The following is a 27,843-nucleotide window of genomic DNA, read 5'->3' as shown; positions in this document are numbered from 1 at the left end:
GGTTTTTCCTTGCCTCTCCAGTGCCCTATATAGACACCCTCTACATGTGCAACTTGCAGATCTTCCAATGGACCGCATCCTCTCACTACCTCCATGCCCCGCTCATGATGTCTCCACTTTGGAATTCCTTCCTCTGTCCAGTATTCAGGACTCGGCTTCGGCACTGTCTCTTCTGGAAGCCCCTCCTCATCCCTCCCTCAGACTGGATTAGGTGCTTTTCTACCATGCACTCCTAACATGTTCTATCATAGAACTTATCTCGCTTATTTATCATGCTATTTATTCATATGGTTACTTGTATGTTTTTCCTATTACACTGAGTTCCTTGAAATCAGGGATCTAGCTAATAGTCATATGTTGATGTTATATGTGTGTGTATTTCTGTCATTTTTTTTTTTTGAGATGGTCTGTGTTGCCCAGGCTGCAGTGCAGTAGCACAACCACAGCTCACAGCAGCATCAACCTCCCAGGCTCAAGTGATCCCCCACCTCAGCCTCCCCAGTAGCTGGGACTATAGGCGTGAACCACTACTCCAAGCTTATTTTTTAAAACTTTCTGTAGAGACGAGGTCTCAGGCTTGTGTTTTTTTGCCCAGGCTCATGTCATATCTTTGATAAAATATGCTTGGCACAATGTCAGACACATAGATATGTACCTGTTATACAAACTTGGTCTCTGCTGAATGAACACACTGAATAGTCATTTTGCAAACAGAAAAGATTAAGTTAGATCATATCATGAAATAAAAGACACTTAAAGGAACTAAATATTCTGTGACTGAGTGTTGAATTAGCTTCTTTTTTATGATATGCTCAAATTACTTCAATCCTATATAAATGTTGAAAAACAAAGCAAGAGACACTCAGGGAAAAGTCAAAAACTTACAAGAAGCATCAGCATGAAGGATCCCATATAGATGATCAGGAAAAACAACGAGATCATAGTTAGAGTGAGAATTCCACGTATCCACCAGTTTTTCCACCTACAAAGAAAATGTAAAGTTAGTATTTAACGTGTTCTTAAGGTTTTTTGTGTGGTTTCAGTATTGATTTGCCAGATTTATGAATTTTCCTTAACTATAAGATTCTACTACTTCACTTTATATAACAAACAACAAAAACAAAAAACAAACAGCATTCATTCACACACTGGGAGATAAATTAACTTTTAAAGTTATGTTAGCCAAGAAAGAAAATAATTTTTCTTTTCTTTTTTTTTTTTTTTTTTTTTGAGACGGAGTCTCGCTCTGTCGCACCCAGGCTGGAGTGCAGTGGCGTGATCTCGGCTCACTGAAAGCTCCACCTCCTGGGTTCACGCCATTCTCCTGCCTCAGCCTCCCGAGTAGCTGGGACCACAGGTGCCCGCCACCACACCCGGCTAATTGTTTTGTATTTTTAGTAGAGACGGGGTTTCACTGTGTTAGCCAAGATGGTCTCGATCTCCTGACCTAATGATCTGCTTGCCTCGGCCTCCCAAAGTGCTGGGATTACAGGTGTGAGCCACCACGCCCGGCCAGAAAGAAAATAATTTTTGTTAAATGTGAGTGGGGAATAAACCGTGAGGTTAGGACGTTAGGTGGTCAGGGTGGATGTGAAAGTCAGGCATCCCACCAGGGACCACATGGAGGGGAAGAACGAGCCAGGTACAAAAGCCCTCAAAAGAGATGATGCCCAATTAGGATGGCAGATGAATACAGTCATGATTTTAAGAATATGATATAGACAGCATGGACTGCCAATGAGAATAAGTAATGAAAGATAATACCGAACTAAAACTGGAAAGAACAGTGATTTCAGTGAAATGAAGGAGTGAGGTGCCAGTTACCTAAGAGGTCAGCCACTGAGGATAAAGACAGATGGAAGGACACTTCTGTTGTTCAAAGTGTATTGACTGCTTTCTTTGATTAGGGACAAAGCCTTTAGTAAAAGTATTTCCTTGGCCGGGCGTGGTGGCTCACGCCTGTAATCTCAGCACTTTGGGAGGCCGAGGTGGGCAGATCACGAGGTCAGGAGATCGAGACCATCCTGGCTAACACGGTGAAACCCCGTCTCTACTAAAAATACAAAACAATTAGCCGGGCATAGTGGTGGGCGCCTGTAGTCCCAGCTACTTGGGAGGCTGAGGCAGGAGAATGGCGTGAACCCGGGAGGCGGAGCTTTCAGTGAGCCAAGATCGCGCCACTGCACTCCAGCCTGGGCGACTGAGCGAGACTCCGTCTCCAAAAAACAAAGTATTTCTTTATCCTTGGGCCTTTCTTTGCTCCTCAGAGCAGAGCTTTCCTGCTGGTACACCAGCTGGTCCTTGCCATGCTGAGAACTGGTCTCCCTCAACCCTCGCTGTAAGGGCCTGGCATGCCCGACCGCACCCCACCACCGCCACAAGCCTCACACTTCATCCCCATTGTGCCATACAAATAATCACTCCTTGTGTTACCATGTCATATAAACTGTTGGCAGCTCTGTATGAAAAATCCAGAATTTCTGAATGCTCCTATATACAAATGATGACTTCTATATTTAGAATTGTCGCTGTTTTTCTTTAGGACTTTTCTGATTTTTATTAATTCAACTGGTAGCATTTAAATTATGTTACAAGAGATTTTGATTCAACTTAAAGTCTAGTAACATATATGCAGTGTATTCTAAGCACAAGTCCTCACTCCTTTTTTTTAAAAAAAAATAGAGACAGGGTCTTACTATCTTGCCCAGGCTGGTCTCTAACTCCTGGGCTCAAGTGATCCTCCTGCCTTGGCCTCCCAAAGTGCTGGGATTTCAGGTGTGAGCCACCATGTCCAGCCCTCATTCCCTTCTTAGAACAGAAATATTAGCTGCCTTCATAAGGTATAGAATTGCTTCAGCCCAGGAGTTTGAGACCAGCCTGGGCAACACGGTAAAAACCCAGCTCTACAAAACATGCAAAACTTAGCTGCGCGTGGTGGTACTCACCTGTGGTCCCCGATACTGAGGGGCGGGGGGAGTGGGGGGAGAGGAGGCGGGGCATGTTGGGGGCTGAGGTGGGAGGAACACTTGAGCCCAGGAGGTCAAGGCTGCAGTGAGCCATGATTGTGCCACTGCACTCCAGCCTGGGTGGCAGAGCAAGATACTGTCTCTTAAAAAAAAAAAAGATTACATTCCTTGCTTTCAACCACTCTCCAATATAGTTTAAATACTTCCAACAAATACTCTTTTCAAATATTCCTTTTATCATGTCATTTCTACACACAGGATCTAAAATACCAACATACCAACAACATACATTTTTTTCCAGCTTATGAGTTTCTTCATAAGGTAGTCAAATTGCATTCATTCAACTTTATTTCCCTCTATTGTTTAACAAACTATGTAGACATAAACTTCTCATGAGAGCATGAGCATGAGGCAGAACTAAAAATGAGTGTAGAGTCAAAAATGCTATGGCTAAAAGGCCCCATGTAGTTGTACAGATATAACTGTTTGTGGATTAATGGATGGATTAGAAAACTGGGCTAGGTCGCAAATCTAGTCAGAGGTAAATAAAGGACCACAAGCCAAGGCAAAATCCTGTCTCTATAAAAAATACAAAAATTAGCCAGGCATGTTGGCTCATGCCTGTAGTCCCAGTTACCTGGGTGGCTGAGGTGGGAGGATTGCTTGAGCCTGAGAGGTAGAGGTTGTGGTGAGTTGAGACTGCACCACTGCACTCCAGTCTAGGCAACAGAGTGAAACCCTGTTTTAAAAAAAAAGTAAGGGAAGGGCATAAAACTTGACCAAGGGATTTCCCTTTTAGGACTTTATCCTAAGGAAATAATTAATGGATGTTAAAATAAAGTTACTACAAAGAAAAATGTTTAATGTAGAGGTATTTTTAATTGTGAACATTTAGTAATATACTAAATGCCCAGCAATAGGTGGTCAGTTGGATAAACTAGACCATAGCCATGCAGCAAAATATACAGACATTAAAAATGTTTCTGAAATATATTTAGGATCCTGCATGAAATGTTGTTCCTAATAATACCATGGAATGAAAATTAAAACAGTAAGGTAGAAAACAGTACAATCTCATTTTTGCTTTACACACATCCATACATACACACACATACACACACACACACACACACACACACTGCACAAGAAAAAAGCCTCAAAGGGTAAACACTGAAGTATTCTAAATATTAATGTCTTGGTAGGAGGATTACAGGATTTTTTTTTCTGCAAGTAATGTACATTTCTTATGTAATTACTATTTTTAATCCTATGTATCTACAAATTCTAAGTCTTTGCAAGACAGTCTGTTTTCAATATTAGACTAAAAACAGGATAAAAATGTATAAAACAGATTACATGTAAAACATTCATGTAATCTTTGTAGAAAAGTTTCTCGAGAAGATTGAAACCACTATATTATCTATTGTTCATTTTCTAAAACCAATTCACTCATAAATAGCATAGATAAGAATACAGGCATTGAAGCCACAGTACCTAGGTTCAGAATGTGGGTCCATAACTTACTAGCTACATGACCCTTGATATATAATATCTGCCTACGTTTCCACATTTATATACCTGTGTTACAAGGCTGCCATGAGAATATTAGTCAATACATATAAAGTGCCTGAAACAATACTAGTACATAGTAAATGCTAAATAAATATTAGCTGCTAGTATTTGCTATTGTTACTTTATATCAGAAAAAAACAACTTCATGATTAAGGAAGATCTTATTATGAATGACACACACAAATCTGGCATCATTCTTACAGAACATCGACTACACAAAATTTCAGGTCTGAGATAGACTTGATGAGATTTTAATGCAAAGTTATATCTGGGAATTAGGTCATGAAAACAACTGGGAACAAGAACTATTAAAATAATCATGCTTTTCATAGCAGATCAAAGATATGTTCTATTGGTTAAAAAATATGAAAATGTTGCTTTTAACCAATATATTCTAATATGGTTATCCCTTACAAAGTAAAAAAAAAAAGAAAAATTCATATTACATTTACTAGATACGACTAAACTAGTGGTTTTCAGATCGCAGGCTATGACCCAAGGGTAGTAAAATCCATTGAATAAGTTACATGTAGCATTTTTTGTTCAATAACATAGAACAGCATCAAATACAAAAGAAATCAGAGGGTATTACACAGTAATGGGAAGAATTGTTTCATAACATTTTTGCAGCAGTTAAAATATACATTTGTGTGTCTTGGAATGTGGTATACAATGTATTTCTTACTGTGTCATAGTGTCAAAAAGTTGGGGAAACATTGTTCTTTCTACACCAATATGTAACATTTCATACATTAATCTGGACAAAAGCTTAGGTTTACTTTGCTTTTATAAATTTTATAATTCATATTACTAAAGTATACAATGAAGGGTAATATAATTAGCTGAAATTTTGTGGTCATCACACATTTTTAAATGTTGCACAAATATAAAATGGTAATGGATTGTGGAGTTTTAGACAATAATCTTAAACTCAGTTAAAAGAAAAGAAAATACTGGCCTGGTGCCATGTTTCACGCCTGTAATCCCAGCACTTTGGGAGGTCAAAGTGGGCAGACTGCTTGAGCCCAGGAGTTTAAGACCAACCTGGGCAATGTGGTAAAACCCCATCTTATTTAAAAAATGAAAGAAAGAAAAGAAAAAAGAAAAAAATACCTATTTCTGTCTGGCATTTGAAAAATAGGGAACAGAGACTATGGAGTTTTATTAGGTGTTCTAATACCAGAAAAAGCAATGTGACGTGGTAAATAGATCACAGGCTTCAGAATCTGACAGCCCAAGGCAAGAATCCCAGGTCTATATCTTACTAGCTCTGTAGCCTTCAACAATTAACCTCTCAGCCTTGGTTTTCTTATACTTCACAAGGTTTTAAGGGTGGATACACATTAAATACATAGAACTATACCTCGGATATTAGGTGGCCTTTTTGACCACCTAATACCATGGCTGGAAAACTTACAAAAAGCCAAATTTATTACATGGACAAGGATAACCTCAAAGCCTATCTTGTGCACTAAGATATACTCATCTTCATCCAATCATACCTTGAAGATAAACCAGATAGAGCTTTTTTGAGAATCTCAGGGGTTCTATCTGAGGATGGTGGAATTTCCGGAATATCAGAATCTGTTCTGGAATCCAAATCTCCATATCTGTCATCAATATCTGTTTCCTAAAATTAAAAAGACAAATTACTTTGCAAAATCACGTTTAAAAAAGCACAGGCTGGCCAATACATTCATTTATTGCTCAGTGTGTCAAATCTCAGTGACATAATCTGAAACAAAGAAACTACTATTTATCTTGAAAATCTTAGCACTGCTATACTTCTTTGTTAGGAAAGTTTGACTATCTTCGCTAAAATCTACTACTAATAATACAAAGGATAACTTTAAACAAAAGACACAAAAGAAGCTCCCATATTTTCTAAATCAGAAATATACCCCTAAAATCAGATGTTTTGCCACTTAACTGGGAGATCACGGTGTTAGTTCCATGTAGATTCTGATCAGCTGTTGAGTCCCTTTTTAAATTTGATTTCAATTAAAGCATCAACAGTAAGAGTAATATCTTACACGAGCGTAGCATTTCATATATATTTGTAAACATTTCAACTTCCATCATTTTTATTAGATCCTCAAGAGAGAATCCCAATTGAAGCAGGTCAAATGGACCTCATCTCTATTTTACTGGTAGGTAAACTATGATCAACAGCATTTGGTGATGAGATTTTTAAAGAAGTTATTTAAAACACAAACCGACTTCTGAGTGCATGTACAGGAGCTGCGTGAGTATGTTGGAGATGGCAGGGAGCTCTAGGCCTTTCAACAAAGGTGGTCACTGCAGAATTTCCAGGGATAGGGTGATCAATGCAATTTTCAAAACAGAAATGTCATCTAATGCTCAGTTTTAAAGTTGTTCATTCTGCTGTAAGTCTCCACTGCCATGTTCTTTCCTCTTCTACAACCTCTCCCGCCTCAGGCCCTACCCTTTCCATCCTACCCTGGCAACCTTCAGTTATGAGTGGTGAACACACAGAAACCTTGGGAGAATGGCTTACAGAGGAGGAAACTGGAGTGAGGGTGTTGAACTGGGATAGAGGAAAGAGAATATTCCCTGGAGGCAAATACAAATAGAGCATTGAGCAGGATATCAAGCCTGAAATAATCCTAGGAATAAAAGCACCCAACAATTCAGAATGTTGAGGATTCTCAATCCAAACTCAGCCCTTATTAGCTCCAAAACATTGGCAAATGTCATCACCCCTTCGAACTGTTTCTTCATCCCTAAAATGAAGCATTTAGTATAATGCCAAGGACTTAGTAAATTCAAATAAGCAGTAAGATAATATTATGATTGAATCAAGTCTTCTAATTCCTCATTAGGAGGCTCACCAAATATAATGTTAGTCTTCGGGAGTATTTTCAGTTTTCATAAAGCACTAATAAACTTTAGTTTACTCACTTTTTAAGTACACAATTACGAAATTAAATGTGTCAACGTACCCTAAATTACAAATGAGAAATAGAAATGTCAAATTCCCACTGTGACACCGAGAGTCAGTTGGCCCTGAAGCTGCTTAAATAGAGAGAGATGGTAACTAATAAACAACCAGATAGAACATCCCTTCAGAAAATGGCAGGGCACCTGCCGTCAGTCTGGTAAGCCACAGAGCTTGGACATCTAGAACAAGGGAAACACATCAGTTTTTTTTTTCTTTTCCCTGCCATTTTCTTTTCACCTTTAATAACCCAGAGTATTGACAGGAGTGGTGTGAGGGGTAGTGGGGTTGGTGACTAATGGAAGTGGTTCTCTAGGGCAGTATCACCATCCTACAAAAAGAGCATGAGACTAGGAATCAGGAGTTACTAGCTCTAATTCCACCTCTACTCTAACTAGCAGTGAGACAAACAGCAAATCACTTAATCTGAAGGAAACTCAGGCCTTGGTTTCCTTATTTATAAAATACTAAAACCATTAGACTAGCATTCAAATTGTGCTCCTCAAAATATTAAAGTTCTCTGCAAGCCACTTCAAAGTCCACTTTGCAGTAATGGTGATGCGCTGCAACCCTCCCCTCCTCACCCTCAACAAGGCTGTCCTGCTTTTATTTATATTATTTAAGCTTCTGATTTCTATTTTATACCCTTTAGAGAAACACAAAATAAAAACTTAAATTGCACCAGGAGTCTTTCATTCAGTAATTAAAGAATACAAGACAATTTCTAAATAGTGGCATTTTGGAGCAACGTTACTCAACTATGAGAATGAGTAGCAGGGGCCCTTGTTTTACTGTATTTAATGTATAGACTCTGTTGCAAAGATGCTAGACTTGAAAAGGAAAATAAGAGTGTGAATGGAGATCAGGGAAAAGAAGGAAGTACTATAATACTTTTAATGATCAAATAGAGCCATGCGGCACTGTGCATGTTGAATGAAGGTATGTATGTACGTACGTATGTATGTATGTATGTATGTATGCATGTATGTATTTATTTATTTGAGATGGAGTCTCACTCGGCCACCCAGGCTGGAGTGCAGTGGTGTAATCTCAGCTCACTGCAGCCTCTGCCTCCCAGGTTCCAGCGATTCTCCTGCCTCAGCCTCCCGTGTTGCTGGGATTACAGGTATGCCCCACCAGGCCCGGCTAATTTTTGTATTTTTAGTAAAGATGGGGTTTCACCATGTTGGCCAGGCTAGTCTCGAACTCCTGACCTCAGGTGATCCGCCCGCCCTGACCTCCCAAAGTGCTGGGATTACAGGGGTGAGCCACCGTACCTGAATGAAGGCATTTAAAATGTTTACAAGAACCTAAAAATTCGTAGCTGCTTCTTCTCCAGGTCATAATTTAAAGATAATGATCCTCAACTTTCTATCTTGGGCCTGTGTTCTCCCACCACCACGTGATCTCATGGACCCCATACACGGATGATTCCCCGTAAACTTATGTCTCCAGCTTCCAACATGCCATCTCCAGGTGGTTTTCCACTGGCATCATTTGAAATTCAACAGAAGCAATGGACTTCTCTCTCTTCCACATCAAAATGCTGCCTCCTTCTGTAATTCCTTCTTTGGAGAAGATACTACTGCCAATCCAGTTAACCAATTACTCAGGTCAGAAACTTAGGCACCACCTTAACACTTGACATCTGCCTCCTTTAACCAAAACATTCAGTCGGCACCAAGTCTGTCATTTGTCTTTCCCTCCATGTCTTTTTCTTTTGCTCTTTTTTTTTTTTTTTGAGACAGGGTCTTACTCTGTCACCTAGGCTGGAGTGCAGTGGCGTGATCTTGGCTCATGGCAACCTCAGACTCCTGGGCTCAAGCCATCCTCCCACCTCAGCCTCCTGAGTAGCCGGGACTACAGGCATGCACCACCGCACCTGGCTAATTTTTTTTGGCATTTTTCATAGAAATGGTGTATCACCATGTTTCCCAGGCTGGTCTTGAACTCCTGGGCTCAAGCAATCCACCTGCCTTGGCCTCCCAAAGTGCTGGGATTACAGGTGTGAGCCACCGTGCCCAGCCTCCCTCCATTTCCATTCTCATTCACTGCTGCAAGCCTTGCTGAGCATCACCTTCTTCTGTAAACATCCCAGAAGGCTTTTTTGAAGAAATTTTTCTAAAATGTCTATGAAAATGCAAAGAACATAGAAGAGCCAAACAAGTTTGGAAAGAGAATAAAGTTGAAGGACTTATATTACCTGTTTTCAAGAGTTCTTATAAAGCTACTGTAATCAAGACAATGTGGTATTGACAAAATAGACAAAATGATCAATGGAAAAGAATAGTCCATAAATAAACCTACATACATATGGTCAACAGATTGACAACAAAGTTGCAAAGGTAATTCTATACATGGTACTGGCACAATTTTAACAAAAAACCTTGATCCATACCTCACACCACAGATAAAAATTAAATCAAAACAGATCAGACATTTATATAAAGCTATAAATCTTACATAAACTCTCTGGGACCTTGGTTAGGCAAAAATTTCTTAGTATGATAACAAAATTATTATCCTCCAAAAAAATGATAAATATAACTTCATCAAAATTAGAATTTTCTTTTCTCAAAAGATACTAAGAGAATGAGAAGACAAGTCACAGAACGAAACATATTTTCAAATCACATATCTAACAAAGGACTTGTAATCTGGAATACATAAAGAACTCTCAAAATTCGACAAGGAAACAATAAATGAACAAAATATTTGGACAGACATTTCAGGGGCAATGCACAGATGGTAAATAAACATATGAAAATATGTTCAACATTATTAGTCATTAAGGCAATGCAAGTCAAAATCACAATGTGATTCTACCATACATCTATCAGAATGGGTGAAATTTTAAAATTGAACAACCAAATGTTGGAGAAAATCTGGAGGAACTGAAAGGCTTGCGCACTGCCGGTGAGAATGTAAAACAGTACAACCAGTTTGGAAAACAGTATCACAGTTTTTTTAAAAATTACATATACAACCAACAACTGACCCAGCCATTTCACTCCTAGGTATTTACCCAAGATAAACTGAAGTGTAGATACAAGCAAAGACTTGTGCACAAATGTTCATGGTAGCTTTACTCGCAATAGCTCCAAACTAGGGACAACTCAAATAGCCAACAGGGAAATGGACAAATTATGTTACTTTCATACAGTGGAATATTCTCTTGTGATAAAAATAAGTGAACAATTGATACATGGATGAATCTCAAAATAATTATGCTGAGTAAAAGAAGCCAGACAAAATGTACATGTAATACATATATATATATATACACACACACGTATTATATTATTCCATTTATATAAAATTCCAGAAAATGCAAACTCATCTATAGTGCCAGAAAGCAGATTAGTACGTGTCTAAGGATGAGGGAAGAACTACAAAAAGGGGCAAACTTTTAGTGGTGATAGACTAGCTCATTATCTTGATTATAATGATGGCTTCATAGGCATATATATATATATATATATATATATATATATATATATATATATATGTGTGTGTGTGTCAAAATTTGCCAAATTATATTTGCTATGGAATGAATGTTTCTGTCCCTGCCAAAAAACAAATTATACAATGAAGTGCAATTTTCCAATGTAATGTTATCTGGAGGTAACCTTTGTAAGATAATGAAGTCAATTAGGTAATTAGGGTGGAGACTCACAAATGGGTTTGGTGCCCTTATAAAGAGGCACAAGAAATAATCTCTCCACCACGGGAGGACACAGCAAGTTATCTGTCTGCAAAGGGCTCCCAGCAGGAACCAAATTGGCCAGCATGTTTATCTTGAATGTCCAGCCTCCAGATTTATAAGAAATCAATTCCTGTTGTTTAGGCTACAGTATTTTCATTATAACATCTTGAGCTAAGATAGCACTTTAAGTGTACTCAATTTAGTGAGTATCATTTATAGTTCATGGGGACTCTTAAAGAGCAGTCCAGGAAAGAGAACTGAGGTGCTTCCCAATACTGAGGACAAAAAGGACAAGAACAAGGACAAGGGGCTCAGGGAACAAAGGATATAGTTCATCAAGAGGATGATTCCATCATTACACACTGTACACAGGTTTCAAAATATGACACTGTACTCCATAAACATATACAACTATTATGTCAGTTGAAGTAAAAAAGAGCTGGGCGCAGTGGCAAGCAGCTATTTCCAGCTATTCAGGAAGCTGAGGTAGGAGGGCCTCTTGAGCCCCGAAGTTAGAAACCACCCTGGGCAACATAGCAAGATCCCACCTGAAAATAAATTAATTAAAATAAGAATCAAAATTTTAAAAATAGATGATGGCTCCAAAAGGAAGTCTCTAAACAAATGAAGGTAAAGCAGTGGTTAAAAATGCAACAAAGGATAATATATTAAATCACTCATACTTTTCATCTCTTTTACAACTGGCCCCTTAAAAAGTGAGTATACATATGTAACAAACCTGCACGTTGTGCACATGTACCCTAAAAGTATAATAATAATAAAATTAAAAAAAAAAAAGAAAAAGAAAAAAAGTGAGTTAGAAAACCAGGGTCAGCTCTTCCGTCAAGAATCCCTTGATGTGGACACTGATCCCTGTAGCTCAGTTCAGCATTAAGATTTGCAATTAAGCCAAAGGAAACCCACAGAGACATAGAGCTCCACACCTGAAAGGAGGCAGCCTTTTAAAAATCTTGAAACTAAACAGTTTTACTTGAAAGAACATGAGGCTGTGCTCCTGATTTCAACATTTTCTGTCTGTTTCTTCATGGTTTTCTTTTTCTTTTTCTTTTTTTTTTTTTTTGGAGATGGAGTCTCGCTCTGTCACCCAGGCTGGAGTGCAGTGGCACGATCTCGGCTCACTGCAATCTCTGCCTCCCGGGTTCACGCCATTCTCTCCCCTCAGCCTCCCGAGTAGCTGGGACTACAGGCGCCCGCCACCACGCCCGGCTAATTTTTTGTATTTTTAGTAGAGACGGGGTTTCACTGTTTTAGCCAGGATGGTCTCGATCTCCTGACCTCGTGATCTGCCCACCTCGGCCTCCCAAAGTGCTGGGATTACAGGCATGAGCCACCGCACCCGGCCTTCTTCATGGTTTTCATACAGGCATGGATTCCTTCTCTTTCTCCCAGGAGTGGAAGTGAAGAGAAGGAACTGCTTTCTATCTGTGCTGGGGAGAAGGACTAAACTGATTTAATTCCTAGTGAGTCAGCAGTTTGGTGAACGAAGAGTGAGGAAGCTCAAGGCCTCTACAATGATAGAGAATAGTCAAGGGACTTAGTAACACTGTTTTGTTTCTTTTGAGGCAGGGTCACCCAGGTTGGAGTGCAGTGCACTATCATGACTCACTACAGCCTCACCGTCCCAGGCTCAAGCGATCCTCCCACCTCAGCCACTCAAGCAGCTGGGACTACAGGTGGGGCCACCACACCTGGCTAATTTTTTGTTATTTTTTGTAGGGACAGGGTCTCCCTATGTTGCCCAGGCTGGTCTCAAACTCCTGGACTCAAGCAATCCTCCCACCTTGGCCTCCCAAAGTGCTGGGATTACAGGTGTGAGCCACTGCTCCCACAACACTGTATTTTATAGACAGAAATCTGGTTACCTCATTCATCAGCTCTGTGGTCCTATCCTACACTAATTAATGATAATTGATAAAGCCTCCTTATTTTTTTTTAATTTGAACTGCAAAGGGAAAGACTCGTCCCCAAATCTTTCTCCGCAGCCCTGTTCTATTCCCCACTGAAGGAAGGAGGTGACTGGTTGGTCCAGTGTACCACTTTACTAATCCAATCAGGAGTTACACTTTGTGGTGGATCCCAATGCTTGGATAAGAGAAAACCAAATGTGTCTCAACATAACATAAAATGCCTGAGTAAAAGGCAAACCTGATTACATCATCCACCTACCTCCTCATCACAGGGTATAAACCCAGCCTCCTCTTACTCTCCAGCCAGGGCTTTGGCCACACCCACCCAGCCACTCCAGGCTCTGCAGAACTAAAGCTTCTGCGCTCCCCACAGTGTGAAGAGTCTTAGCCTCTCAATATTGTGCTACGGTATTCTTCTATTTATAACTTACGCTCTTCCTCTTTGAGCCTGGCTTTGCCTGACTGGTGCCTATTTATCTTTAAGGTATCAGCCTAGATGTAATTTCTAGAAAACTCTTCTTCAGGGAGCCTGTCAAGGGCAAAATAATGGTTCCCTCCCCACTCCCCCCACCAAGATATTCACGTCTTAATCCCAGAACATGTGAAGATGTTGGTACAATTCAAGGGAGAATTAAGGAAGTGGGCAGGATTAAGTTTGCTAATCAACTGATCTTGACGTGGTGAGCTTATCCTGGATTATACAGGTGAGTCTAATATAATCACAAGGGTCCTTATAAGTGGAAGACTGGAGGATCAGAGTCAGAGAAGAGATGACAGAAGCAGAGGTATAGTGATGCTGGTTTTGAGCAAGGAGTAAGAGGCCACCAGCCAAGGCATGCTGTTAGCCTCTAGAAGCTAGAAAAGGCAAGGAAACAGATTTTCCCCTGCAGCCTGCAGAAGGAACATGGTCCTACCGGGACATCTTCACTTTAGCCTAGGGAGACCCATTTTGGACTTCTGAGCTCCAGAACTGTAAGGTAAGTTTATATTATTTTAAGACACTAAGTTTTTAGTGATTTGTTTTAGCAGCAATCAGAAGCTAGGGGAGCTCCTCAGCCCATTTTGTGCAACTCTTCGCATGCCAACATTTGTATGACATGTTTTGATTGCCTGTTCACCCAGCAGTCTCACCCACCATGGCCATTCCTGCAACCAGGAGCTTGGTGAGTATGTGCTGAGAGAATTATGACTGTCATCTCTCTATCCCCAAATGGAATCGGGCCAAGTCTTCCAGGCTACAGTATTGCTGCTCTGTTTTTTGCCATTCCTAAGATGCTATCTACAATATTCAAATCTTACTTAATTTTAAGGCCCATTTTAAGACTTTCCTAGATGTTTGGCTCCTTCTGATCTTTCTCCAGTGATATCTCATTCTATTATACATTAAGATCACACTATTTTGTATGGTTTCATTTATGTAAGTCTTAAATTCCAAATTAAGAATAAAGATCACTAGAAGAAAAAAACTCCATGGAATTACACAAAAGAACAGAGAAAATTAAGGAGTTTCACTCAAAATCTGAATTATTACTGCCATCCCAAACTTGTTTTTTACCTGAGATCTTATTAATGATTGGTTCTCACAGGTACATCACTTTTTCAGGGCTAAGATAAATAATGCCTCCAGCTTTTCTGCCTTGCCTTCATTTAGAGTGAGAAACAAGTACGGTTGGCCCCCTCACATTTGTGGGTTCCATATTCGTGAATTTAACCAGCCTCAGATGAAAAATATTCAAAGGGGAAAAAAAGGTGGTTGCATCTGTACTAAACACATAGATTTTTTTCTTGTCATTATTCTCTAAACAATACAGCATACTATATTGTACAACTACAGTATGCAACTATTTATGTAGAATTTACATTGTATGAGGTATTATAAATAATTGAGAAATAAAAATAAAAGCCCAAGCCCCCCCAGCTGACTGAACAAACCCCTTCTTGGCCAAAGGGACACCAGAGAAACTTCGGAAACTGAGTTCCAGCCACGATAGGACAGGAGGTTGGACATGCCTCAGTATGCCCCTTCCTTATTAACCTTTAGCCAGAATTCTTTCCTAAGGAGTAAGCAGAAACCAGCTCCAGAAAACAAGAAACAGAGTACCCTTTCTTTTATCACCTTTAGCCAGTCATCTGAGGCTGCTACTGGACTCTCCCTCTTTGCAGCTTTGATATGACAGCTTGCCAGTTTCACAATGCACCCCTTTCCTAAAAACTGACCATCACCAGACTGATTTTGGCCACCTCTTGGATGATGTGCTTTGAGGGTTTTCATATCCTGTGCTTCACCTTTGAGAGCACTTTGGGAGCCCGAGGCAGAAGGACTGCTTGAGCCAAGGAGTTTGAGACCAGCCTGGACAACATAGGGAGACCCCATCTCTACAAAAAAAATGTAAAAATTAGCTGGGCATGGTGGTGCATGCCTGTGGTCCCAGGAACTCGGGAGGCTGAGGTGGGAGGATCACTTGAGCTTGGGAAGTTGAGCCTGCAGTGAGCAATGACCCATAGATATGGAGAGCCAACTGTGTATATATGGCAAGATAAAGCAAATTTAGCAATCTCTTAATAACAGTTAAGTCCTAGGTATGCTGATGATCATTGTACTAACCTTTTAACATTTTGATATTATTAAAAAGTTACAATAAAAAAGTAGGGAAAACTTTAAAACTAATATTGAGACTCAGGACATATTACCCTAAAATATGACTATAGAGAACTAGAATATGCCACCCCAAAATATACTTCTTTGGTATATTTCAAGATTATAATTCTGAGAAACTGCAGACACATTAGTAGCTCTGAAATGCAGTTATTTTGTAAAAAAAAAATGTATATCTATAAAGGAAATCTACATTAGTAAAGTATTTGTATAAGGAAGACAGCTGCTCTGAGACAACTTTCATTACCTGAGAGACTATCCGCATAACAAGACAGCCTTTATTCACCATGCATTTCCTCCCCTTACCCTCCCAGAACTTGCGTGGCCAGCACCCCTTAGAAGCTGAATAGGTTCCGTTCAGTATCTCAGGGTGCTATATAAACTTCAAAAATCTGACCCTTCTTTCCTGTTTTGTTTTGCACATATGTAATTAAACAAGAGAAAAATGGTTTTTCTCTTGTCTTATGTCAATTTAATTTGCAGCCCAGCCAAGAAACCTAGAAGGGTTTTCACTCCCCTACACTAAATAATATATTGATTGAGGTGAAAAAAGAAAAATAGCTCTGAGCTGACCCAGCTATGTGAGGTATGTAAAATTTATCAGGCCCCAGAGTATGGGACTTCAGTCACACCCCCACACCCGTGCCTGGGAGCAATTACTTAAAGGCATTTTGTTTCAGACTCGCTGCCTCACCCCTTATCTTCCTGGAATTTATGATGCAAAGAACAATGTGTAGCCAATCAATAGTTTATTTTAATCTAAATTCTTGTTAAACAATTTAGGATCTGCCTTTTCTTTTTTCCTTAAAAACCCACTTGTAGGCCAGCACGGTGGCTCATGCCTGTAATCCCAGCACTTTGGGAGGCCGAGGTGGGTGGATCACTTGAGGTCAGGAGTTCGAGACCAGCTTGGCCAACATGGTGAAACCCCGTCTCTACGAAAATACAAAAATTAGTCAGGCGTAGTGGAGAGCGCCTGTAATACCAGCTACTCAGGAGGCTGAGGCAGGAGAATCGCTTGAATCTGGGAGACAGAGGTTGCAGTGAGCCAAGATTGTGCCACTGCACTCCAGCTTGGGTGACAGAGCAAGACTCTATCTAAACGAGAAAAAAAAAACAAAAAAAACCTTGTAACTGCTGCTGATCAGAGTGTATACTCAGGGCAACTTGAATCTAAGCTCCAGAGTGGCCATCCTCAAGCTTTGAGCTCAAATAATCATACATTTGAAATTCATTATTAAAGGCGACAGAGGATGCAAACATATGTTGTAAACCTATCAAGACAAAGAAGGAATACCTCTGAGGGGATAAGTCACCCAGATCGCTAGCTAGTATCCTTATCTTCTTGTATACTTTGTATACCTTTTTGTACCAACCTCATATTTATTAAAAGCAGTATACATTATTATAAATGGGACTACTACAAGCAGAATTCCAGGGGGCACTATCTACATTGAACTCTACATGAATAGTGTCCCATAGAATTGTTCGAAGCCTCAACTCTGAGACGGTTCAAGTACAAGCATAGTAAGTAGATGAAAAAATAAAAAGCACAACCTTGAAAGACGAGTCTAATTTGGTTTCCTGAATCTGGATTTTTATATATTGAGATAAAATGTGAACTTCCAGATGGGCTTAATAAATATTCATTGACCCACAGACAGCCCCATATTGTTTGTGAAATGACCTGCTTGGGACTGGAAGGTAGCAGTGAGCCACAACTTAACTGTCAAGATGTCTGATCCCACCTGGGTCACCCAGGTGATGAAGTCAGATTGGCTACATCAGCCTTGCAGAAAGCTCTTAAATAGTTGGCCATGGGTTCCGGCAAATAAAGGGAACTACAACCATAGCCAGGAAGCAGAAAAGCAACACTGCTTTCTTAGCTGCGTTGTTTGCAAAAAGCAGCTATAAATTTCCATAGATAAGAGTCCACTCTGGACTGGACTCTTTTTTCTCCCATCCTGTGCCTTTCAATTTCATATTTTAAAAGTTTAAAATCTTGACAGTTCTGAGAAAGTCTTAAGCAAACAAACATTCAATGACATGACCTGAAAAATATCTTTCACCTCATTTTGAGGATAAGAAAATAAGTAAATACTTACATAATAAACTTGGTGTATCTCAGGGATGATCAAAAACCAATTGGTTGGCTGGGCACAGTGGCTCACGCCCATAATCCCAGCACTTTGGGAGGCCAAGACAGGTGGATTACTTGAGGTCAGGAGTTCAAGACCAGCCCGGCCAACATGGTGAAACCCCATCTCTACTAAAAATACAAAAATTAGCTAGGCTTTTGTGCTGCGTGCCTGTAATCCCAGCTACTTGGGAGGCTGAGGTGGGAGAGTTGCTTGAAACGGGGAGCGGGGGAGGCGAAGCTTGTAGTGACCCAAGATCGTGCCACTGCACTCCAGCCTGGGTGACAGAGTGAGACTCTGCCTCAAAAAAAAAAAAAAAAAAAAAAAAAAATTGGTCATTAATGAAATTACTTCCTCTCCATTTCTAGAGTTGTTTCAAAATGTGATGTCATTCTCATTAAATAAGTTCTGAAACATTTCTCAACCAAATAAAGTATAAACAGCTATAAAATGAAATAAAGGCTAATGATTTCTTGAAATTGATCATAAGTAAGCGATGAAACACTTGAAGTGCTGTTTTAAATCTAGGCGCCTGAAATCACCCAATGACAGGCTTTCAGCTAAAAATTTCTAATCCGCTGCCAACATTTCATAGATTCAAAAAGACCAAATTAGTCCAAAGTCACACAAGGTAGTAACAGTAAAAATTTTCTTAATGTTTTAAATTGATTTTATACATTTAGGACCACACATCTGATTTCTCCTTTACATTTTTTAATTAGAAAATTTAAGGTAAATCCTGGCTCTAAATACCATGATTCTGAGCAGGGCATTTAGGCTGTCAAATTCCAATTTTCTCATATGTAAACTAAACCTATCTCCCTTGCCTATATAATTGTTAAAAGACTAAAATTGATATTAAGTATAAGCAAGTATTTTGCAAATTATAAATTATTTTGCACTAAAAAATTAGTTTATATCATTATTCCATGCAGGGAAAGTCCATAATTCAAGAGATTAATATATTCTACAATCAGTTGTTGAGCAACAAACAAATCCTGACACCACCTCTTTTCTCAAAGAGTATAAAAAAGCCACCAAAAAGTAACATTCAAGCAGTGTCTTGCTTATAATAGGCACTCAACAAGCATTTACTGAATGCACAGAACCAAACCAAGCCTCAAGAAATATGTTTATAATTTCTTAAATGACCTATGTTCTTTACACTGAAATAAAATCTGTATTTTTGGAAAAGACATCCCCAAATATAAAATGGTTAAAGGAAAACAAACATGCCAAACCCCTGTATTTATCTGTGTTATCTGGGAAGAAATGTGAGAGTCTATTTTACAAAAATGAAATTCATAAACACATAAAGAATACTCATACTACATGTGTATATATCTTAATTTTTCTTCATACTTTTCCAGAGGACATTAAATTGTCCCACTTTTCCCCAGTATATTTTGACAAACAAAATATTGTTTGTGTTAAAAAGGAAAAGAAACTTTTATTTTGAAGAATATGAGTCTCATTAAATTATCAGGCCCCGAGAGGCATTTAAAATGTGTCAGCAGTCATGTCTCTCACCGTTTGAGCTAAACAATTACCTCTTCGAGCCACTTGCTATGTTGGCTCTGGACTGATACCATGTAGCCATAAAATACCATATACTAGACATTGTACCTCATACCTTACATTTTAAAACTGAATAGCCAATCATTCATCAATATTATCTCTGTAAGGCAATGAGAATTCCTGTCAAACAACTTTGTACCAGCCCATTCCCTGTTCCTTTTTGCCTTTAAAAACTTGCTTATAACAAAGGCCAACCAAGGCACACCCCCAGGCAACTTGGAAGTATGTCCCAGGCAGTGTACTCACTTTGGCTCAAGTAAAGTCTTTAAATTTGGCTCAAGTATTGTCCTTAAATTCTATGTTATGCCTCAGCTTCTTCCTTAGGATGACAGCATCAAAAAAACCCACTGTGGTACACATCCAAAGCTTGATGTAGTTGATGACATTCTATGGTAGTATCTCTCAAAATAATAAGAAAATGAACTGTTTAAAGATCATAAACACTAAGTGAAAATTCACATGGTAACCCTCAGATATTCTTTAGAAATCTCAAGTTAACTACCATTCCTAACCCGCACATAGCTTACTATTACATTACCATGCCTTTAGATTCACTCTTTTATTAGTATAACTTGAGTATTCCTGGAAACTCTTGCTAGGAGTTCATGATGTTTACAAGAATTTCTAAAAGACACATCAACTCTTTGAAAGGAAGCATCAATGAACAGTTTAGTCCTAAGACTCTTTGAAAATGTTTGCCTCAAAATCCTTATCTGGCTTATCTACTAACCCCAAATTGTTATATTGTGACCCTTACCCAATCCTAATCAATTCCCCACATTGAAAGACCTGCCTTAGGCTGGGTGAGGTGGCTCATGCCTGTAATCCCAGCACTTTGGGAGGCCAAGGCGGGCAGATCACAAGGTCAGGAGATTGAGATCGTCCTGGCTAACACTGTGAAACCCCGTCTCTACTAAAAATACAAAAAAATTAGCCAGGCGTGGTGGCGGGTGCCTGTAGTCCCAGCTACGTCGGAGGCTGAGGCAGAAGAATGGCGTGAACCCGGGAGGCAGAGCTTGCAGTGAGCCGAGGTCGCGCCACTGCACTCCAGCCTGGGCAACAGAGTGAGACTCCGTCTCAAAACAAAACAAAACAAAAAAGACCTGCCTTAAACCAAACTTCCAATTCTCAAATACGTTACAACTTGCCTCTCCCCCTCTGAAATACTACCAAGGCTCTGTGGAAGTGTTCCTCACTGCAGTAAGCTAAAAACCCAGCTCTGTCTTACCACCTGGCTGGGTTGCCGATATTTTGGAAGCCAGCATTTTAAAAAAATGTTATTAAATGAAATGAATATGCTGTGCATGATAAAAGCTGAATCATGGAAAATTATTTAGGTGGTAATACTGACTGATAATTTATCAACAATTAGGGAGTATCAGCCCAAATGGTAGTCCAGAAATCTAGATCTAAACATTAGTATTTTATTAATGGCCTAGATCTAGATGAAAAACTATAGAAAATGTTCATTACACTTACAGGTGACATCAGCACAACCTGTAGTGAAGTGTACCAAAATGAAGAAGTAATTTACAAAAACACAATAAGGCTTTTACAATAACAAAATAAACTAGACTAAATGCAGTGTTGAATCTCGGATTGTATCCCAGGGCAGTAAATGGATAGTGGAACAACCAGTGAATTTCTGAATAGTATCTACAGTCTAAAATGATATTATAGCTATGTTAATTTCTTAAGTTTTGACCGATGTACCACGGTTATGCAAGATACAAACCTTACGGGAAAGTCGGTGAAAAGTACATAGAAATCTTTGTAATGCTTCTGTAAATAAAACCAACCACCTTTACAAAAACTGTAACAGTGAGAAAATCATAACAGTGAAAAAAAATCTGACCTAACCAACTCTATCTTGCCTTTAACCTTCAAGCTGCCCATGGTCATTCCCAAGTGAGAACCAAGCTAACTTTGGAAGAATTTAGTTTACAGGTTAAATGATAACAGCTCTTCCCTAAACTAAACTGCCTTTATAAAACTAATAAAAGGTCACAAGTTTAGGATTATGAGAGGGGACTGAATTTTGTTGTGATTACATGTAAACAATTACCAGCCACTGGTCTGGAGATCACAAGATTTGCAACTTCTCCAATTACTTCTACACATAATATCACTATTAAAGAAGCTAAGATTGGCCTTTTAAAAGATAGACCACTTTCAGATTTTTATATTTCTGATGACTGGATAACTCCTCCCAAACCAGCAACTCCTGTGGCCCCCCCATCCAGAAATGGACTCAGCATACAAGGACCATTTTCCATACCCCTGCAATTGCCTCCCCAACCAATCAGCAGCACCCATTCTCTAACCCCCTGCACACCAAACTATCTTTTAAAAAGTCTAGCCTCCAAATTTTTAGGGAGGTTAATGTGAGTAATAATAAAACCCTGGCCGCCTGTTTAGCCGGCTCTGTGTGCATTAAACTCTTTTTCTCTATTGCAATTCTCCCGTGTTGATAAACCAGTTCTATCTGGGCAGCAAGAAAGAAGAACCTGTGGGGTGGTTACATAAATCAAAGTTGTTCCAAAATTAAAAGTTTATTTGAAAATAATAATGTATTTATGAAAGAAGCTGCACACATCTCAAATGGAGGAGAGACGTTAACTGATCTCTGGATTGTTTTCTCCTCAACTTCACAAACCAAAATCCCTAAGTAGCAGCCCCATGCACAAACACACAGGGATCTTACCTGAAAGCACACTATTCCACGTGTGCTCCCCTTGACTGGCCACAGCCTCAATGTGCACCCTCTTTTCTCCCACTTCAGGGTCTAGCAAGTGAAGGAAATCAGAATATTTCACCCCAAATTATACTTCTTTGACATATTTTGAGATGGCTGTTCAGAGGGCCTGCAAACAAACAGCCCTGCAAAGCTGTCTTTTGTGAGGTAGATTTGTGTCTGTAGAGAAAATCTGCATTGATGCAACCTGGCCTTCTCTGAAGGTTCTCTCTTGTCTGGATCTAGGAAAGACTAACTGAGAGTCTGACACTTTTAAAGGTCTGAAAGAAATATTCACCATCTATTCTCTCTGAGGGCTCCTCCCTATGAGGTTTCATCTACATGACAGGACCACCTTTGCCTCAAGATGGTATATAAGCTTCTGAGCCTCTTGGGGTTCAGGTAATCACTCTGTCTCCCTCCTCCCACCCCACACGTTAATAAACTTGTATGCCATTTCTCCGATTAATCTACCTGTTGTCAGTTTTTTCTGGCAAGTCTTCAGAGGGCAGAGGGGAAGTTCTCCCTTGGTCTCTACATAAGTCATGTCTTAGCTCTTTCTGTTTCAATACTCATTCCCACTCAACCCATTAGATCTTCACCAGCCCACTTCCCTGCCGACCTGAATCTGTGGTCATCCACTTCAATCTTGGCTTCACTGACTCTCTAATTCCCTACATCCTGGACCTCTGGCACTCCCCAGGCCTAAATCACTCCCATTGCTTTTCTTATTCTCAGCTATTAAATGGGGATATTCCTAACACACAGTCACACAACACTGAACGTGACTGGAACACATCTGAACTGTCATTTTTGGGAAGTGTGATAGGAAATGACCAAAAGGTAACTATTATAAAACTATACAGAATTATTAAACTCAGTGAAGATTCAACTGAATACAAATTTATTGTTTAAAATTTAATTGTATATATACCAAATTATATATAAATATATACAAATACAAATATATATGAATTGAGTTAAACCAAGTTGTTTCTAAGATCCCTTGAAGCTCATTGGTTCTGAGTTCCTACTTTACTAACTGAAGGCATCCAACATTTGATCTTCTCCTTTCTGCTTTTCAAAATGTTCCTGTATCCACTCTTCATTCCGTCTTTCTTTTCTTAAGGAAAAGACATGCATCCCTCTTTTCTTTCCTTGGATATCCCAATAATCCATAGTCTCTACCCCATGTTTGCTTTCTTTTTCCTAGGGCCTACCCATTGTCTTCAACATCTTTACTCATTTGACTTTCATACAAATATATATCTCCCCTCCTCTGAAAAGAAAAATCTTCATTAATCCTCCTGTCTCTCTAGTTGCCATCCTGTATTCCTTTCACTGCCACTTTATAACAATAACTACCAACATTTCACCTCTCAATTTCCTCAACCTAAACTTGCTTCTACTTAGATCTTTTGCTAAACTCCACGTTCTATCTCAGCCCTTATTCCTAAGTACTACTGATGATGTCCTCTAAGCCAGGGGTCCCCAACCCCCAGGCCACAGACCAGTACCGGCCTGTTAGGAACTGGGCCTGTTGGGAACCCGGCTGCAGAGCAGGTGAGTGGTCTGCGAGTGAAGCTTCCTCTGTATTTACAGCCACACCCCATCACTCGCATTACCACCGAGCGCTGCCTCCTGTCAGATCAACAGCAGCATTAGATCCTCACAGGAGCTTGAACCCTGTTGTGAACTGCACATGCGAGGGATCTAGGCTGCATGTTCCTTATGAGAATCTAAGGCCTGATGATCTGTCACTGTCTCCCATCACCCCCAGGTGGGACTGTATAGTTGCAGGATAACAAGCTCAGGGCTCCCATGGATTTTATATTATGGTGAGTTGTATAATTATTTCATTATATATTACAATGTAATAATAATAGAAATAAAGTGCACAATAAATGTAATGTACCTGAATCATCCTGAAACCATCCCCCCAACCCATCCGTGGAAAAAAGTGTCTTCCACAAAACTGATCCCTGGTGCCAAAAAATTTGGGGACCACTGCTCTAAGCAATGCCTCCTCCTTTTGCTCTCAGGACCTTCATTATCTCTTCCTCTGTATCTGCAACCCTGTGCCTAGAATGCTGATTCAAGAAAAAACCCAACACGTCCTTTGCCTAGAACACCCTACCCAAACCCTTGTAAACCTGGTGAGTCCCAGGAATCTTTTCATTCCCAGCTCAATCCTCATCCACTGTTTAGAGCTTTTCCTACAGTCTCCAGGTAGACGCCAAGCATGCCCTCTATGCTAACAATGAGCCTTGTACAGACTTCCAATAAATCTAACTCATATATGTCTCCTGCAGGGTTCCTTGAAGATGTCCCTTGTCATTTTTCAAGTACCACTCCAACATTTAACACTTGGGAACATTCCTCTGCAGGTAAGAAGTATTTTTTTCACTTGCTAATTATCTGGAGTACAGAGCCTTCTCTCAGCATAAGTCACCAGTCCGGAACAAAGGGAGTGTCATGTTAATAACACCATTATTAAAAGACTACAAAATGGCAATGCATGGGAGTGTATTATAATAGCAGAATATAATGTACCTCCTTCACTTCTTTCACTAATTCCCCAAGAGTTTTGCCTTTACTGCAACTGAACAGGGAAGGCCCTTAATGAGTTTGAATTGACCAAATATTAACCAGCCTCCAGTGTGCAAACTGATTTTAAAATAGCCCTTGACCTGGAAATACAGGTGTATTCAAATACACACCCTGATAAGAAAGGACAGACAGGGATAGAGTTCAATATCTATCAGCTTGCCAAGTCAAAAGTTCCTCATGATAAACTCTAAAAGTAGAGCAGTATTTTAGATATGGTTTGAATATGTTCATCCTTGTCTAAGAAATCTTGACAAAACAGGTTACATATAGCAAAGTCTACTTTCAGAAAACAAAATCCAGCTGGACATGTGTCAATAAAAACCAACAGTACTGCATTGATAAATAAATAAATATGCAGCGAGGTAACCTAGTCACAGATAGCTAGAGACAACAGTTCTAATGAGTCAAATCACACTACAGAAGTAGTTTCCATTTTAAATACATTATGGTGTTAAAAAAAGAAAAAACTTAATTCCGAAGGTATTTTATGCATGGCTTCCTGAACATCTTTTCTCTTAACAAAAGCTTGTTAGCTTTGTCGAGTTAAGGAAGTCAGCATAGAGAAGCTGGTATTTCCTTGATGCTAAACTATACCAGTGCTAAAAACAAAACAAAACAAATCCCAACCTAATTAATTCTATTTTGGGTCTAGTTTCCAAGGCAGTTTTCACAAAGACTATTCTCAGCCCACTGTTCCTAGTTTTGTAACTTCAACCTTCAGTAGCTGGAAATTGTTATATTTTGGGTAATTCCTTGACACTTATGTTTTATTACAGACTCATTTTATTCTACTTACTATCAAGGGTAAGGGGAAAAGTGTCACTACATTGATTCCATTGATTCTAAAGTTTTAGTACTAAGAATCACGTTTACGTTTATTTCGTGATATCATGTGATATGTTCCTATTAGGGCTTTGTAATTTGGGTTACATCAAACTCATCAACATCAACTTTCAGGTGGAATCCTCCCCAAATCAGAACTGCCAGCCAGTCTCAGCAACCACATAAACCAGAAGAAAAGGAATCAGGAAACTTAGATTCTAGTTTCAAGAGCCACGAACTTGACCTTGGGCAATCCACCTCACTTCTGTAATTCAAACTGCAATGCCTGCTTCCAAAGTATGCTTCTAGAAACAGTTTACGTGTTTTGGGTTTCTCAAATAAAATGGAATTTTCTAAACAGACGGTTTGATACAACAATCTATTCTCTGGTCCAATTTCCCAAACCATCCAGTCCATAAGATCATAAAACTGCATTTCTTCACAAGTTCTTACTTGCACCACTATATTACCAAACACGCCCGAATTCCTTTTCTAGCTTTAAACAGATAGTAATATCGCATCTACTTATTCTTAAATGTGAAAGAAGAGTAATCTATAGAAAAGGAAGTGAAAAGTCTTCATGAATTAACGTCGGGTTATATGAAATCTACTGGTAGACAGAAGAATTGCACTGTCTGTCGTGTACTCAAAAGAAGCTGGAAGATTACTATTATGTCACGTGCATGATACTCTAAAACCTCCAAAATCTATCATACTGAAAAAGGATGGAGAAAATGTAAGTGCATATGGGGCAGCGCGAGAAGCCAAGCCTCCCGCGTCAGGATCCGATGAAATGATACAGCCGACGGTGGCACGTCTCTAGTCCTTACTAACTTTGTTCCCTCTACTGAAAAGAGAGGTGAGGTGGCAGCTACTAACTGCACTGCAGCCCCTAGGAGGACAGGTTCCCTCCTGATTCCAGCGTCGGCCCCAGATCCTGAAGAAGGGACCGGAAGAGGATGAAGCTAAACTGTAAGCCGGGTTGAGTGGCCCATTTCTCCCGGGCAGCGGCCGCGGTCATCCTGGGAACCTCACCGCCACTGGGATCCCGGGTCCCGACCCCCTCTGGAGAAGGAGGAAGCAGTGCCAGGCAGGGAGGAAGGTGCACCGGCAGCGTGCAGCCTCACCTGACGCTGGACGGGCCCCACCCTTGCTCTCAAGTGTCCCGCTTCCAACCAGGACCCAGCCAGGGCGCGGCGTCCGCCTCTCTCGGCTCCACTTACTTTGTCGCTGGTGCTCTCGGTTTCGTGGTCGCCGCCGGCCGCCTCTCCCTCGCGGTGTGGCGGCGACACCGCTTCCCTGGGGCCGGGGCAGCTTCCCCGGTGCCTCAGCTCCAACATCTTCCGCTCCCGCGCTGCCGTGGCGGCCTCCTCAAGCACCCCGAAACCTGAGCTGCAAGCAGGGTTCTGCAGGCGGGGCGCCCCGCCACCTCGCAGCCGCGCCCTGGAGTCCCGCGGAGCCGCAGCCACTAACGCGGCCCCACCATAGAGCGGCCGCCGCGCCGGTCACCTCCAAAACGGCATCAACGAGAGAGCGCTCGAGGCCGCCTGCAGCGAGCGCGGCTCCGGCGGAGGTCCCGGGCAGGCTCCGGGCGCCAGGCGCGAGCAGAGAAGGCGGAGACGCGGCCTCCGGTTGCCAGGTGCGCGTCTCCACGCAGAGGCCCAGGTAGGAGGAGGAGAAGGGGCGGGGAGAAAAGGAGGACGCTTGACCCGCTTTAGCGCGGCTCTGGGCTCCCGCCGCCGCGCAGGCCCCTCCCGCCCCGCCCCCCGGAGCCGGACTCGGAGCCGGCTTGTCCCGGCCCCGCACACTTCTCCCTGCCCGGGCCTCCCGCACCAGGTCTCGCGCCGCAGGCCCCGCCCCTCTGCGCTGCACTGCGGTTCCCACAGCCCCGCCTCCCCGTGAGGTGACGTCAGGAGCCCGGCCCGCGACCCCGCCCCCGCCTCTGCGTGCTGGCAGGTGGGGGCCTGAGAAAAGGTGGGAGCGGTGGGGCGGGAGGAGGCTGAGGAGCTGGGAGGCGGAGGCGGGGCCAGCGCGGGCTGGAAGTGAGCGTTGAGAACTTGCAGGCTAGTCCCTGGGCCGCTGCGAGGGCTGGAGGAGCTACTCAAAGACGCCCGCTAAATGTTAACAGCGCTCAACACTGCTGCTTCAAACGCCTCCCCGGCCTTGTCAGCTTG

At 40.9% G+C, this 27,843-nt stretch overlaps 1 protein-coding gene across 6 annotated transcripts in view, besides 4 other annotated features; it reads right to left on the bottom strand.

Annotated features, from left to right (window-relative positions):
* Positions 1-27,284, bottom strand: part of CDS1 (CDP-diacylglycerol synthase 1) — a 68,208-nt gene extending 40,924 nt beyond the window's left edge. For all 6 annotated transcript variants that reach the window (NM_001263.4, XM_005262687.4, XM_017007650.3 and 3 more), the window contains exons 1-3: positions 26,893-27,284; positions 6,041-6,168; positions 886-982 (exon numbers count right to left, since the gene is read on the bottom strand). In NM_001263.4, the coding sequence (NP_001254.2) occupies positions 886-982; positions 6,041-6,168; positions 26,893-27,009 (342 nt within the window). In that variant the 5' untranslated portion in view covers positions 27,010-27,284. The remainder of the gene's footprint in view (positions 1-885; positions 983-6,040; positions 6,169-26,892) is intronic.
* Positions 13,193-14,170: an enhancer, noted in NCBI's record as "H3K27ac hESC enhancer chr4:85517394-85518371 (GRCh37/hg19 assembly coordinates)". NCBI's record gives its function as "activates a minimal SCP1, AML or CMV promoter by ChIP-STARR-seq in primed H9 embryonic stem cells {active_cell/tissue: H9 hESC(primed)}" and the evidence as "EXISTENCE:reporter gene assay evidence [ECO:0000049][PMID:30033119]".
* Positions 26,538-27,491: an enhancer, noted in NCBI's record as "H3K27ac-H3K4me1 hESC enhancer chr4:85504073-85505026 (GRCh37/hg19 assembly coordinates)". NCBI's record gives its function as "activates a minimal SCP1, AML or CMV promoter by ChIP-STARR-seq in naive H9 embryonic stem cells {active_cell/tissue: H9 hESC(naive)}" and the evidence as "EXISTENCE:reporter gene assay evidence [ECO:0000049][PMID:30033119]".
* Positions 27,328-27,427: a silencer, noted in NCBI's record as "silent region_15547". NCBI's record gives its function as "represses an Ori minimal core promoter by ATAC-STARR-seq in GM12878 lymphoblastoid cells {active_cell/tissue: GM12878}" and the evidence as "EXISTENCE:reporter gene assay evidence [ECO:0000049][PMID:35858748]".
* Positions 27,468-27,677: a silencer, noted in NCBI's record as "silent region_15546". NCBI's record gives its function as "represses an Ori minimal core promoter by ATAC-STARR-seq in GM12878 lymphoblastoid cells {active_cell/tissue: GM12878}" and the evidence as "EXISTENCE:reporter gene assay evidence [ECO:0000049][PMID:35858748]".

The sequence above is a fragment of the Homo sapiens genome, chromosome 4 (assembly GCF_000001405.40).
Source record: "Homo sapiens chromosome 4, GRCh38.p14 Primary Assembly".
Taxonomy (NCBI): domain Eukaryota; kingdom Metazoa; phylum Chordata; class Mammalia; order Primates; family Hominidae; genus Homo; species Homo sapiens.
The sequence above is the reverse complement of the archived record's forward strand: the minus strand, read 5'-3'. Positions and strand labels throughout refer to the sequence as shown.